Raw genomic sequence first — 16,363 nt, 5'->3', positions numbered from 1 at the left:
AGACATATCATGCAATCTGTCATGTCCACTGTCCCTAGTCCTCAGAAAAACTACTCCACTCATACTTTTTTTTATGAATGGACAGAAATGGTTAATCATGTTTTCTACCATGAAAAATCACTTATTCCCACTGAAAACTAACACAAGCCTGGGATGAGCAACTTTCTAAACTAGGACTGTCAATCCCTAGGCTAGATTGTGATGGATGATGTGGCCTAGCCTACAAAGATAAGATAAACCATCAGAATATCAACTTTGGGAAGTCAATATGGAAGAAAATATGCACATATATATGCACACAGGAACATGAGGCAGTTTTAATGGGTGATAAAGACTAAAGGAGTCAAAATAACATTATATAGAATAAAGAGAATGACAAGTCATAGTAGATCACAAGAAAACAAAAACTCAAGAGAAGCCAGAAGCTATAGGATAGAAAAAAATATACACAGTAAGCAGTCGACAGTGAGAAGAAAATAAGAACAGGTAATTAATGAGTAGATGCATTTCGTTGACTGTTTATGGCAGCATCACTTTTTGAAGAATTGGGATAGTTTTGCAATGGGTATCAATGTGTATCTGGTATAGTGCATATAACTTATAAGATAGCACAGGGAGATAGTGCAGCTCAAGCTAATGGCAAAAGTATTTACTGTGTATTATTTCCAGGCTCAATAGAAATTTGTTTTACTATTTGGTAAGATGCAAATTCATACCAATGAAAGAGTAAAAATATAATCAATCAATTACTTCAAGAACTCACTGAATAATGTAGAAGAGATGGCAAAAGTAGAGTTCCAAATCTGAGTTCTTCAGGAGCTTGGGCACTCTTCCAGCAATATGACCTTTGGTCTATCACTTCATACGGTAGATATTATTAGTGTTCATCAAATCTTGACCTCCCTCCCCCTGCCTCCCCACACATAGTACCTACTCACTTCCCATAGTAGGCTCATGACTAGGACTGGTCAATAAAACATGAACAGATGTAACTGTGCCTTTTCTAGGTTAAGGCATTTGAAAGCTCCTGTGCATTCTCTGGTGTCTCTCACCAAGCTCTGACAACTGTGAAGGACATATGTTGGCATGGCAAGACCAAACATTAAAGCCAGCTAAATTGCTGTTACCACATGGAGGACAACTGTGTTGGAGGATAGCCCAAATCTGCAGCTGAATTTTCTTAAAGGAAAAATAGAATTTTATTGTATTAAGTCATTTAGATTGAAGTTGTTTGTTCAACTGTAGCTTGTACTATCCTGATTAAAATACGTAGCTTCTCATATCAGTTTCCTAATTTGAAAAATTATCTACTCACCTCAGAGTTGAGGCTGAAATAACACTTATCAAATAATTTTATAAGGTTTTTTGTATACATCTATATAAATTTAAGGTGTCTACAGTATACATAATGACAGGAAAAATAATAGTTCCTTTAAACAATTATAAGTGATAACACAAGGTTATAATTATGTCATGTGTTTTATTAACATGTAACATATATTAATAATGTGAATTTATGTTCTATAGATTTCAGTAATAAAAGAAAGTTAAAACTAAAACTATCATATTAACTAGAGGAATAAAGGCATGCATGGAAAATTACACATATACTCATATGTATGTAAATTAATTAGCATAGAAACATAGAGACAGTTTTATCTTTTGGATGTTTTGCTTTACTATTGAGATAACTGGTGAATACATAAAATTACAGTATAACTAAAGTCAAACCATAGTATATATTACCCCTTTTACATTACAAAAACATAATACAGTTTGGCTACACAGAAAGAATTGACATTACATGCCAACCAAAATCTCACAACAGTCAATATCTTCATGTTCTATGAATTTTCAACTCTATACCACTTTCTTCTTCCAGAAAAAAAAAGGATTATTAAAGAATATAGCAATAAAAATCTATCCAAAAACGCCAAGGAAAACCTGATTTCTTAAGAAAGTAACTTCAATTACTATAAGATTCTCAATTTATGATTTAAGTATTTCTCTAGATATGTTTTATATCATACTGAACAATGCAAATTACCAACATATCTTTCAACCCAATTTCAACATTTTACCATATTTCTCATATTTTAGAAAAGATCAAACCTAAGTAATTTTTTAAATGTAGTCTTCACCAAAGATAAAATTAGAATCAAATGCAATAATATAGAAGAGAAATACTACAATGGGCACTGGAGATCATGACAAAAGAACTCAGGAACTTTGAAGTGTAGGAGTAGAGGTGATACTCAAGATATTTAGCTATTTAACAACTGGCAGGGCATAAGGACCATCTAGTCAGAATAGACGCTTGCTGTAGCAATGGGTCCAGAAACACTGGTAGAGTGTATTGGTAGATACCACCTGAGCATTGCTACCAGTTGATAGTAATGTTCAAATGCTATTGATTTTGTTTTCAGAAAAACTTTGCAATAACTAACCAGAAGCATCTCAATCTAGTTTCTCCATTTTGTCCCACATTCAACCTCTATCAATTACAGAGGAATGCATTTTCTGGTTGTACTCTAATACCCTGAGGACTGCAGTCATGTTAGATATACACTGGTGAATAATCTGCACATTATCTTGGGTAAATACATGCAAATATACACCTGTTAAAAAAACTGACTTCTCTGCACAAGCATATATCATGAGGCTCCAGTATGGAATTGAAATGAGTTAAAATGACTACATTATTGCAGGATTGATGTTAACACCACTCTCACACAGCTACCTCACATTTTTAATCTTCATTTACATGTTTTGATTTCACATACATTATTTCTTTTTTATTCTTTTCCTTTATCTTTCTTTCTCCTCTTTTCCCCCTCTCTCTCCTCTCCTTCTCTCTCTGTCTCTCGATCTCTCTCTCTCTCTCTCTCTCTCTCCAGGATCTCATCTGTTTGAGGATGCAGGAGTACAAATGCAGGGGTACAAATGCAGGGGTATGACCTTGGCCTCAACTGTTTCCGGGATGCAGGGGTACAAATGCAGGGGTACGACCTTGACTTCCTGGACTCCAGTGATTCACTTCAGTTTCTTGAGTAGCTGGGGCCACAGGTCACCACAACTAGCTAATTTTTTCTTTTTTTCATTTTAGTAGGGATGAAGTCTCACTATATTGCCCAGGCTGGTCTCAACCCCTGGATTCAAGCAGTTTGCCTGCCTCAGAATCCCAAAATGCTGGGATTACAGGCATAAGCCACCATGCCCAGCCTGATACATTATTTCTTATTTCCTTTTGATATTAATTCAGAAAACGTGAAAATCTACTATTTTCTAAATAAGGTATAAAAAGCAAACAGTGTAGAAAAGAAGACAGAAACAGAACCACCTATTATAGTCCCCTGGAAATAATGTCATAACACAGGTATTCTCAAAATGGTCTGGAATCACAGAGATTTCCCAGTAGAGTACATGTTCCATTTCATCTTCAAAGACAACCAGGAGTTAAACAAGAGAATAAAGAAAGAATGCAAAGAATTCCATCCTTGAAAAATGTACTTGCATAAAAATATAGTTCACTAGAGACTGGAAGACAAGATAAAATAAAAAATGATGGCCGGTAGTCCCAGCCACTCGGGGAGGCTGAGGCAGGAGAATCGTCTGAATCCATGAGGTGGAGGTTGCAGTGAGCTAAGACTGTGCCACTCCCCTCCAGCCTGGGTGACAGAGGGAGACTCCATGTCAAAAACACCAAAAAATCTGATTAAGGAGCTAATTAAATACTAAAGAGTATGAACATTGATCCCATGAAATGCCATAGAATTGTGCTACCCAATAGAACTTTCTGCAGTGATGGACATATTCTGCATTGTTCTGTCCAATACAGTTGCCACTAACAACATGTGATTATTTAGCCCTCAAAATGTGGCTAGTTGGCGGGTGAAGTGGCTCACACCTGTAATCCCAGCACTTTAGGAGGCCAAGGCAGGCAGATCACTTGAGCTCAAGAGTTCGAGACCAGCTTAGGCAACATGGCAAAACCAAATTTCTATAAAAAATACAATAAATAGCTGGGTGTGGTGGCGTGCGCCTGTAGTCCCACCTACTTGGGAGGCTGAGGTGGGAGGATGGCTTGAGCCCGGGAGGCAGAGGTTGCAGTGAGCTGAGCCAGACCTTGTCTCTAAATAAATAAAAGAAATGCAGCTAGTATATCTAATGGACTGGAATTTTACATTTTATTTTTCATTAACTTTGTTTGAGACAAGGTCTTGCTCTGTCATGAAAGGTGGAGTGCAGTAGTGTGATCATCACACACTGCAGTCTTAATATCCTAGGTTTGAGTGATCCTCCCACTTCAGCCTCCCAAACAGCTGGAACTTACAGGCCTGCACTGCTATACCCAGTATGTGTATATACATATATATTACACACACACATATATATACACACACACATATACCCCCTACACATGTGTGTGAATATTATACACACACACACACACACATATATATATATAAATATAATAAGCAGGATCTCACTATATTGCCCAAGCTGGTCTCAAACTCCTGGACTCAAGAGATCCTCCCACCTTGGCCTCCCAAAGTGCTGGGATTACAAACGTAAGCCACTGTGCCCAGGTAACATAAGTTTTTAAATAGCCACCTGTACCTACTGGCTACCATATTGGACAGTGTAGCAATAAAGGATTATAAGCACACACATAGTATGATAGATTTACATCTCAGAGGGAACACCATCTGTTCAGTGTTGAAGGTAAATTGAAAGAGAGACAGGTGAAGTGGAGAAAAGTTAGAAACAATAGCACAATAATCTAGTGATGTGAACCTAAACTAATGTAAGGTCAATTGAGCTCATAAAGCAGCAATATAGTCAAGAAATATTTAGCAATTGAAATTGGATGACTGTATGTGAATGGTAAGCAAAAGAGAGACATGGGATGACTTAGGTTTCTAGTTTGAGAAACTGTGTAGATGATGGTGTTATTCTCCTTATAAAGAGAGTACAGCAAGATTTGTCCAGGGATAAAAATACTGTTTCAAGCTTAAACTTGAAAACAAGTCTGAATCATCTATCCCGTAAGAAGTTGGCTGGCTATACATGTCTGTAACTCAGAAAGTAATTAACAGCTTAGAGGTGGCCATTAAGGAAATGAATTTTGGATGGATCACCCAGGGAACATGGACAGTGAAAGCAGGGCCCAGAAAACACTGTCAGTTGGGAGGTGAAAGTCATTCTCTTCCACAAAAATTCAATGCATCTCGTTGTATTCTAGGAATCAGATTGGGCCTTTAGGGACCAAAGATGAGTAAGACAGAGGCCCTGCTCTCCAGACATTAGCTTGTAGAAGAGTCCTAATTAGGAAGAAGAGTTCATGGAATAAGAAATTCATGAAGAAGCTAGGCAAGAAATACTCAAGGAGGTAAGAAGAAAATCAGAAGAGATGTCTCAGAAGTCAAAGTAAGAACCAGTGCACTGAGTGCTACAGAAAAGGGGAAAATATCCATGAAACTGAGACAATGTGCTTATTAACCATCTTCTGCATGAGTAATTCTAGAGTGGTAGAATTAGAAGCCAGACTACAAAAAGCATAAGAGAGAATGAAAGGCATGGAAATGGGAACATTTCAATGGAAAATCTCTCTCCTGTCCTATGACAAGAGCTTTATTTAGATTCCCTCCTTAATGTCTTCTTAGGTATCTTCCTTTCCCATATCTTCAATATTTCCTTCTGTACTTGCTCTTTCCCCACTAATGGCATTTAAACAAGACTGGATAGTTCATTCTTAAATGGACCCCTTTCTACAGCTCTCATCCAATACTTCTCCCTGCCTGCACAGTTAAGAGTGAAATGAAATATATCCAAGCAGAAAAGGTCAACTGAAAATAGATTCAGTTACAGGGCAAGTTTGTAAAAGATTTATGCTGATTAGAGATAAATATTTAGTCTTCTACAAAAATATAATAGTTTTTGTTATGTTATGAAGTGGCTTTTCAGATGGCTTTGTCTAACAGGAATGATATTTAAGAGCAGCCTTCTCCAAATAGCTTCAGCTCTTGCTGCCACATTCCCAAAAGTTTAGTTTATTACCACAAAAAGCAGTGGTACTCCTTCACTAGATAAGCTCCTTGAACACAAATATGATGTCTTTATTATCTTTGAAGCCCTAATATTCAGAAGTTTGAGAGATATAACAGTCATTCAAATTTATCAGAAACAGATTTGTGTGGGCTTAAAGGTGGCCCATATGATAACTTGTCAAACTACTTTACATAGTCCACATTCAGCATTGTCCTACAAATCTCCTGAGCCAGGGTGTCATACAAGCAAATGGCTATTGATGTGGTGAAGCAAAGATCTCCTCAGCTCTTGAGATCACTAGGCAGTGTCTAAGGTGGATAGTATCAGGGCAGGTAGTCTCATACATTTACCCCGTATAGATATCAATGTCTATATGTGGCATTACATGAGCAAGCATTGCTCTGGCCTCAACGCCCCCAACAAACTAGTACATCTCCACTTTTACCTCCCAGAACTGCACACATAACAAATATCACTTAAAAACAGAGCATTCTATTATCACTTCACTTATGATATGATAATCATATCAGGGATTATGATCCCTGACATATCAGTTATGTCATCATCTTGGTATTTTGGCACTTGACCACATAGCAAACTAACTTGACACTTTAAAATATTTTAGGTGTATGAGTAAACATTTTGTGAAGGGAAGTTTCACCTTTGCAAAAAAATATTCATTACTTGCGAACTAGTACTTGTTAAATACATTTCCAAGTTTCTGGGTCTCTTTATATAGAAAACATTTGATATACACTGACTAGCTAAATAAATAATGGCAAACCAGGACAATTTACACATGTTAGGAAAACTCCACTTTCCAAGGAGATATGAACAATTATAATGGAAGTTCCATGAATGCAGGGACTTTCCTTGTGCACTACTAACCCTCATCACAGAGCTTAGTAATGGCACCCAATAGGTGGTAAATAATATTTACTGAATTAGTGACAGTCACTAAATACATAAATGGTTAAATAGTCAAAAGTACTCCTGGTTTTGCTTAAATTAAGTGATTTCTATGGATGTTTTATAATTTTGTAAATAGGGCTGGTACCACAAGACTTCTAGGAGAAAAAGAAAACAACTCATATTCTTAAGTAACCAGACAAAAGAGAAATGGTGATTAAAGTCACATGCATAAATCATTAGTGACTTGCTCCACTAAGGTGGAAATATGTGTGACCATATTAACAGACGTTTCTTTAAAATATTACCATTCCCTGACTATGTGTAGTAAATCAGGAAAATCTTTGGATGAGGGAAGGAATGCAGGGAGTTGAGGTAGGAAACAAAATTATTTCACCTTGGCACAAATATGATGATCAATAAATGTTAACTCACTTTTCAAAAAGGTAAAATTTGGAGGTTTAACATCCAACAAAATCATGTGTTTTAAACAGAAAGGCACTGGGCATATACTATCCACTTTATTTTTCTCCATAAATAAGCTAGCCATCTTTATGTGCAATATCGCTTTAAATTGGTTACTTTAAATGATCACAGGAAGCAGCATGATGGTTGAACATGTTAGGTAAGTTCCAGCAGAGCTGGGTTTGGGCAGGTCCTGTATGTGCACGCTTGGGCAAGTTATTTAAACTTGCTCAGCCTAAATTTCCTCAGTAAGAATGATATTACCTACTTTGAAGGTTTTTGCAAGAATTTCAAAATGCACATAAAGTATGCGGTATTATATCTGACACATAAATTATCAATTAACTATCAGCTATTAGGATGATAAGTAAAAGCTCAAAAATAATCTTTCAGTTACAAAGTATGGTTCTTTGAAAAAACCTAACGTTGTGTCTTAGCGTATAGGGTTGGGTAAGCATTCAAATTAAATTAATATTCTTTATTTCCTATATAATATGTATTAATAGGATCTGCATTTTAATGCCTTTTCATAGCATCCTTTATGTACTTATCTATGTGATTATTTGGTTAATGCCCCTCTGCTCCTCTAGTATATAAGTGTTATAGAAGCAGAAATGTTTGTTTTGCTCAAAACTGTATCCCCAGTGCCCAGTACTGGTCAGTTGAATAAATATTGACTGCTTAAATAAAGGCTATCATAATAAATTTCATGCTCATCTCCACTATATGAGCATGAGCACCATATTTTCTTGAAATTGGAAGAGACTTGCTAAAGAGCATAGAGATTTTTTTTAAAAAAAGTAGAGGGTTAAACTTTTAAGCATCGATTTCCTTCCAATATACCAAATTGAATAAAAAACGAAAAACCAACGACATGGCATGAAAAAGGAAATAATTCCCTGCTTTTAAGGCAAGAATCATTATTCAGCTATGACAAAAATTGCTTTATATAATTACCATACGTGCTAAAACCAACAACCATCTACAGTGATTTCCCCCCACCCCCGCTCCCTGGCCTTATACATTTTACTGTGGAGAGAATGTCCTACTGAGAGGAAGGAAATAAAAGTATTAATTGAGATCTTCGCAGTTCTTTGTTCCGTCAGTAAACAGCAATTATCCTTAAATTTCCAAATCCTTACCACCTACCTGTTCAGCAATATAATACATGAAGAGTGCTCATCCATTAGGCAACTGCTTATTCAGTGCCCATCATATATTGCACATGATGTTTAGCACTGAGGATATAGGGGAGAATAAGACAGAAAAGTCTCTTTTCATAGAGATTAAGTGTTCATTTTAGGCAATCTACTTTGTCCCTACCGTGTTCCTTGCATATATATATATACACTTACATATATATATATATGTTTTGTATTTCTACAGTGAGAACCTGACTGTTCTTTGGAATGTTTCCAGACTCAAAAAGGAAGTTATTATTACCTACATATTCATTATAAATGAATTAGATAAAAACAAAACTATTTGAAAGTCTCATGTAGTTCAATGTAATAAAATTTTACAAGTAAAATATTTTCTGCATCACCTCAAATCAGTTAAGAAAATAATGATTTTGGCCCATTCTTCTCCCTTGGCACAAATAACTAATTTCAGTGCACTGTCACACATAGTTTGAAAATGGGAGCCAAAATGAGCATTCACCAAGATAATGAAGAAAACCATAATCTGGAAGCAAAAAGTATGAGTTCGGAACACTGCCCAGACATTGTTAGCATCATTCAAGCTTTGGATGCCAGGCAGCCAACTAAATGTAGGACTTGGACTGCATGAATATGTTAGATGCTGGTTAAAGAATGCACTTTTTATTAGCCATAGTTCAGAATTTGGCTGTTAACACACATCATGTTACCAAGTCATCCAATAGGATCATATTGGAAGGACTGTATCTGTCCAAGTTTTACAACATTAATGACAGAAAATCAATGGTAATAAATATGTGTATTTAAAATAATTAAAAAGGTGGAAGCAAAAGGAAAAAAACAAGGAAGGAATATTCCCCCCAAATTATCATTATACTTATCATTTTTATGTATAAGAGATACAACATTCAAGGGGCCATGCATTTTTATAGGAACTATGTACAGACAGCAGTAAATAACAGTTATATAGTGAGGAAAATAATTTGTTTCAATATTCTTTTAATCTTTCTTTATATTAAGAAGAAAGTCTCAGTTTGGTGGTAATATGCTTTTAACACTTAGAGTGTGAGTGCAGATTTGCTAGCCTTTGTGAACCAACAATATCTAGCTCAAATAATATTTCTTACAGCTGTGGTTCTCAAATATTGCTTACGCCTGCTGTTTTGGATTTCTTTACATTCTTAAAATTGTTCAGGAACCCAAAATAACTTATATTTATGTGAATTACACATATCAACTTTACCATATTAATTAAACTTGAGAAAACCTATACTTATCAACTGATTTAAAATAATAGTAAACACATTACAAGTTAACATAACTTTTATGAAAAACAACTATATTTTCAAAAAAGAAAAAAACGTAAAAAGAATGACATTTAGATTCTTATTTCCAATTCCCTTTAATATCTGGCTTAAGGTGATAGGAGTAGATAAAAAATAGAAACAAAAAATAGGAAATGGATAGATTTTTATATTTACTTCTGCATTAAATCCTTTGCAATGTGTTGTTTGGTTGAAGCATACAAAGTAATTCCATCTTCGCACAGATATAAACTTGGAATGGAAAGAAACATTTTAATAGCCTTTTTATATATGAGTGGTTATTCCTTTATGATACTACTACACCAAAACTTGACAAGCAGTTTCTTAAAGATTAGTTGCAATGTGGAATCTGAAACAATATCAATGAACTACTTGTACCCTATAAGCCTGTAACAGAATGTATTATTTTGAAAATAGTTTTAATACTGTAGATGCCCTGAAGAGGTCTAAGTGAAACTCCCACCTGTGTGGTTCCCTGGCCCACATGTCAAGAACCACTGGCTTACACTATTTTTTAACTAGCCAAGTGATGTTGGTTTTCCATTCATGATAATAACGACTTGTTTAAAAGGAAACTTTTGCTTTAAATAATCAGTTTAAAGAAATATGTTAAATTACAATACAGAGGGTATTTATGGGAAAAACGTGAATTTTGAAAACAATAAACAAACATAAGCTGCAAACCTACCCTCTACACTTATTTTATAATGAAATAAACTGCTAGACAGCTTTCCCTCACCTTATCTCTTTGCTGGCTTCTCCTAATGGTGAGGTCTTGGCTCTGTATGTCAACTCTTCAGGAAGGTGATTCTCTGCCACTTAGGTGGCAGATTAAAGGGCAATACTAGGAAACACTGATAGTAAGGAAGAACTTTTCTTCTCCTGAATTTTATAAAAATAAAATATCCATAAGGCACCTCTATATTACTATTAATCCACTCAAATATATATTGATTTCCTATTAAGTGGCAGCATTGTACAAATAATTTGTAAGACTCACAAACCTACTAAATAGATATCCTGTCTTTAAAGAGTTTGCATTCTGATTGGCAAAATTTTGACCAGTTAGGTATACAAAAATTTAGACTAGAAAGGTAGAAGTATTACAAGACAGAGTAGTCAAAATTCTAGGGAATAAAGATTATCCTCACTTCAGAGAAAGGGTGCCCTTTGAGGCTGACGTGGGTTGTAGGTCAGATGAAGAGATTTGGAGGTAGGGCACTCATTTATAAACAAAAGGCAGCAATTAGTTATAGGTTTAAATTGCTCCAAAGGTAACAGGCCTTTAAGAAAGTCAATATCATATTCTTAAGCAGGAGTCCCTGATGCTGGGGAAGGGGGAAAGGGTCACAGAAGTCAGCCTTGCTGGAGATCACCGGCCTGCGTATCTCAGGCCCACGGGGGTGCCCCACCGAGGCTTTGCCTCACCTGACCGTCCTGACCACGAAGTACACCAGCACCGCGCCGCTCACCACCATCAACACGGTCAGGGCCCGCTGGGTCATGGGCTTGTCGCCAGGGTTGGGGCTCACAGCAAGGCCGCCACCCACCGAGCCTTCCCCGGCCTTCCCTCCGTGATCGTCCGTCTCAAGCCCGGCCACAGGGTTGCTGCCATTGCCTCCCTCGGAGCCCCGCGGCCCCGCAGCTTCAGCCAGACCACGGCCCGGCTGCTGGGCAGGGGTAGGGCCCGGTGGCAGCGGCGGTAATGTCCGTGGTCTAGGGTCAGGAGGCCCAAGACCTGGCGCGGCCTCGGCTGCCTGCAGCAGGACTGCCAGGGGCCCGCTTAGTTCAGGCAGCAACAGCAGGAGGAGGACGGAAGCCAAGAGGTGGCTGAGACAGCAGCAGCACTGCGAGGCCTTCATCGTTCCCGGACCGCTCTCTCACCACCCGGGAGCCGCCAGGCCCGCCACGCTGGCTCCAAGAGGGACCATAGGCGCGGTGGAGAATGAAGCAGAGGTGACCAAACGCCAGGGAGAGGCCCGGTCGTGGCAGGTGGCAGAAGCTACAGCAGTGGCAGCTGCCCGGAGAACCGGAAGTTCGTACATCTCAGCGGCCACTGCTGCTAAGGACGCCTTCGGTTGCTAACTTGTAGGGGCGGATGCACTTGGTGACGTCAGAGGCCTAGCGCCCAGTGCGCACGCGCACTTGTGTAAAAAGCGAGGACGTGACCGTTTTGGAAGCATTGTTCTTTTCACTGTTAGTGAGGAGCGGTCAAGGATGCGTATTAAGAAAGTAAGTAGACAAAAAGAGATTGTGTAAAATGTACAGCAACTCTCTCATGCAGGAACCCTGAGAGATTGGAAACTCATAATCTGAATTCATTGGTGTCAAACTGCAATAACACATTTAATCTGTAAGCCAGAAGGGCTTAGTTTTCCTTAGCTTCATTACAAGCTTTAAGCAGGCTTTTTTTCCTGCCTATGGGTCCCTGACCTCCCTTTCTAAAGAGCATTTGCTTGTAATGAGTTCATGTCCTTTGTAGGCACATGGATGAAGCTGGAAACCATCATTCTGAGCAAACTATTAGAAGGACAGAAAACCAAACACTGCATGTTCTCACTCATAGGTGGGAATTGAACAATGAGAACACTTGGACACGGGATGGGGAACATCACACACCGGGGCCTGTCGTGGGGTAGGGGGGAGGGATAGCATTAGGGGATATACCTAATGTAAATGACGAGTTAATGGGTGCAGCACAGCAACATGGCACATGTATACATATGTAACAAACCTGCACGTTGTGCACATATACCCTAGAACTTAAAGTATATTAAAAAAAATTACTTTAGAAAACTTTACCATTGTAAGTTATTTCTCTTCCCTTTTCAGATGTAAATATTTTTTAAAGCTTCTGGCCAGTTATATAATTGAAAACTATCTCAAGGGTATGGAAAGCCATCATGCCTTTGAAATATAATCAGCAAGGAAGGTAGTGGGCCATCTCTTATTTTGTGTGAGAGGAAAGGAACCTAACTGTTGTAGGCTTCTCGCTTCAAGTTGTAAAACCACCTCCTGTCATGGAGGAGAAAATTTACTTTTCCTTTGGGTAAAGTCAATCAGCAAACTCAGGTGGCCGGTGATCTTCCCAAAATAGCTCTTAATAACTCTCCACTCCTTTTTTTCTTTTAGAGGAGTTGAGATTAGAAGAGTTTTATCCCCTTTCCCAACAGCAGTAGTCTTCAATAATGTCTTCCTTGCCTGTTTGACTTCAGTAATATGGAACTTCAATTTGTGCAGATAACTAGAAGTGGCCGCATGATGTACCTCTCACCAATGAGATGCCTGTCAAGGGTATACGTGGGTCTTTTGAGTAAGTTATTGTTTTCATTGCTAAAAGAGAGACAGATACAGGTAGATATATACAGAGAGAGAGCCAGAAACACACACACATGCATACACACACCTACCTCTCTCATTATTCCTTTCCCCCTTTCACTTGCCTGCCCTCTCTGCACAGAAAGTTCTGGCCCTAACCTTGAAAAGAATATGACCCAGCTAGTCCTCTGATCCTAGTAGACTGTGGGATATCTGGCGTAAACTATGACTAAACCTATAGCCTGGCACCAAATGCAGCCAAGGTTAGCTTAAGTTAGTCAACCCCAGCTTGACCAAAGAAGTGAAAAATAAATGCTTATTTGCTGTATGCCACTGATATTTCTATGGTTATTGATTATGCCACATTATTCTAGCAATAGTTGATTAAGAAGCTAGAATCAAATCATGGTATTAATTAGGAGAATATAATAATGTGGCAGTAACCTGATACAAATTTCTCATTCTGAGATTTTTTCCCCTTATTTATGTATTTTTTTTTTATATCCTGTGCTTGGTACAACTTGTTTGCAAGCCAATTGATAACAAGTAAATGAACAAGTATATTAAAATTAAGAGAAAAATTCATAAACAACTAATTTTACTTAGTTTGAAAGATTGTATTTCACATAGATATTTGTGCTCAAAATTGTAACTTTCTATTGCACAAACAAAACACAGTATCTTCTCCTAGGAAAATTTTTGTTCATTCCCATGACAGATTTCAAGATGTCATTATATAATGATGTTTTACAAACAATATGGTATTCTAAAAAGAGCACAGTAACTTCCAGGTATGTTGCCTGCTTAAGATCACTTTTGTTGAGAATTGAGTATCTCTGAAAAATCTGATTTTGTTTTTGTTGTTGTTGTTTAGTTAGTTGGTTGCTATATCAGGAGAGATCTGTACTTAAAAAGTTTATCCTGGCAGTAATATAGCCATTTTAAGTGAAGGTAGAAAGTGCTGGGCACCAAGCAGGTTAGTATATAGTCCTAGGGCTATAGAGGCCTGTAGGATTGGATTAATGGGAAAAAAGTTAGGGAAATGGACAGGATATGACAATATCTGGATGCAGGTAGTAAGGGAAAGGAAAGAGATTCTTAAATTTCAGTGTACATGAAAATCACTCTGAGAGCTTGTTAAAAATGCATATATAGTCCATGTCTCCACTTCCAAAAATTCTGTCCAGAATTTCTAAAATAGTGATCTAGAATCTCCAATTTTAACAAATTCCCTTTCTTATTCTGTTTTGGGTAATTGAGAGCTGCATTTTGAGAAACATTAGAACATAGCTTTCCTAATCATTTGGAAACAATAGTTTGATTCTAAGATTTCAGAATCATTTAGCTCTTTGCATGTCCCAGTTATTGCCAAGGACTGCTGCAGATGGGAATTTGGGGTAACAAATGATACCAAGGTTTTATGCCTGCACATCTGGGAGAATGATAATGCCATTAATCAAGATGAAGAACATGACAAAATCAGATTTTGGAAGGAAGGAAAGATAATGCACATTTTCTTTTTTGTCATTCCTTTTTTTTTTTTTGACAAGTTGAATGTTGGACTTTTTTGGGAGGAGGCATTAAATACTAACTCTATTCTATTTTTTGGGAGAGGCATTAAATACTAACTCTATTCCATTTATAATGTGGAATGAAGTTCTGAGTAAGGAAGATGGGAAATCAAAAGGGCATTTTATTACTGATAAATGCCATTTGGAAGCTGACACTAGGGTGTACCACAAATGGGCTTCTTTACACTGAAACTCAACATTAAGATGCCTAATCCTTGCAGTTCTGCCAGCCAGAAGCAACTGCCTTACCCTGCTCCCTGAAAGCAGCTAAGAGACAAACTATCCTGTCCACTCTACCTAAAACAGCAGTTTACAAAATTTGTAGTATAGATCTTGTATGTTTCATTTATAACACACACTTAAGATTCCAAAATTAGTGTGATTATTTTTACCACTTGAACCTAAGTTCTATGAAGCAAGGGTCAATCTCATTTATTCACTACTCAATACTCAGAATTTAGCACAGTGCTAAAAAAGAGTATATCAAAAAAGACAAAGGTGGGCATTACATGATGGTGAAGAGTTTAACAGGAAGAGCTAACTATGCTAAATATATAAGCACCCAATACAGGAGGAGCTAGATTCACAAAGCAAGTTCTTAGAGACCTACATAGAGACTTAGAATCCCACACAATAGTAGTGGGAGAATTTAACACCCCATTGACAATATTAGACAGATCATCAAGACGTAAAATTAACAAAGATATTAAGGACCTGAACTCAGCTCTGAATCAAGTGGACCTGATAGATATCTACAGAGTTCTCCATCCCAAAACAACAGAGCATAACATTCTTCTCATTGCCACATGACACTTACTCTAAAATTGATCAAATAATCAGAAGTAAAACACTCCTCAGCAAATGCAAAGGAACTTAAATCATAACAGTCTATCAGACCACAGTGCATTCAAGTTAGAACTCAAGATTAAGAAATTCGCTCAAAACCACACAACTACATGGAAATTAAACAAACTGCTCCTGAATGACTCTTGGGGAAATAGTGAAATTAAAGCTACAATCAAGAAGTTATTTGAAACTAAAGAGAACAAAGAGACAACATACCAGAATCTCTGGGACTCAGCTAAAGCAGTGTTAAGAGGGAACTTCATAGCACTAAATGAACACATCAGAAAGCTAGAAAGATCTCAAGTTAACAACCTAACATCTCAACTAAAAGTACTAGGAGCCAGGAGCAAACAAATCCTAAAGCTAGCAGAAGACAAGAAATGACCAAGATTAGAGCTGAACTGAAGGAGATAGAGACACAAAATGCTCTTAAACAAATCAATGAATCCAGGAACTAGTTTTCTGAAGAAAGTAATAAAATAGACTGCTGACTAGACTAATAAAGAAGAAAAGAGAGAAGTATCAAAAAAACACAACCAGAAATGATAAGGGGGTATTACTACTGACCCCACAGAAATACAACCATCAGAGAATACTATAAACACGTCTATGCACATAAACTAGAAAATCTCATAGAAATGGATAAATTTCTAGACACATACACCCTCCCAAGACTGAACCAGGAAGAACTTGAATCTCAGAATAGACCAATACTGCA

General features: G+C 37.4%; 1 protein-coding gene and 1 long non-coding RNA gene across 3 annotated transcripts in view, besides 1 other annotated feature; one reads left to right on the top strand and one right to left on the bottom strand.

The window, feature by feature from the left end:
* Positions 1–11,929, bottom strand: part of FAM174A (family with sequence similarity 174 member A) — a 51,368-nt gene extending 39,439 nt beyond the window's left edge. For both annotated transcript variants that reach the window (XM_006714600.2, NM_198507.3), the window contains exon 1: positions 11,339–11,929. In XM_006714600.2, coding sequence (XP_006714663.1) covers positions 11,339–11,772 — 434 coding nt within the window. In that variant the 5' untranslated portion in view covers positions 11,773–11,929. The remainder of the gene's footprint in view (positions 1–11,338) is intronic.
* Positions 11,671–11,970: an enhancer, noted in NCBI's record as "active region_22842". NCBI's record gives its function as "activates an Ori minimal core promoter by ATAC-STARR-seq in GM12878 lymphoblastoid cells {active_cell/tissue: GM12878}" and the evidence as "EXISTENCE:reporter gene assay evidence [ECO:0000049][PMID:35858748]".
* The window catches only part of FAM174A-DT (FAM174A divergent transcript), an 84,330-nt gene continuing 80,026 nt past the window's right edge, over positions 12,060–16,363 (top strand). The window contains exons 1-2 of the long non-coding RNA NR_172939.1: positions 12,060–12,142; positions 13,151–13,223. This is a non-coding gene — a long non-coding RNA (FAM174A divergent transcript). The remainder of the gene's footprint in view (positions 12,143–13,150; positions 13,224–16,363) is intronic.

Source organism: Homo sapiens, chromosome 5, assembly GCF_000001405.40.
Source record: "Homo sapiens chromosome 5, GRCh38.p14 Primary Assembly".
Classification (NCBI taxonomy): domain Eukaryota; kingdom Metazoa; phylum Chordata; class Mammalia; order Primates; family Hominidae; genus Homo; species Homo sapiens.
The sequence above is the reverse complement of the archived record's forward strand: the minus strand, read 5'-3'. Positions and strand labels throughout refer to the sequence as shown.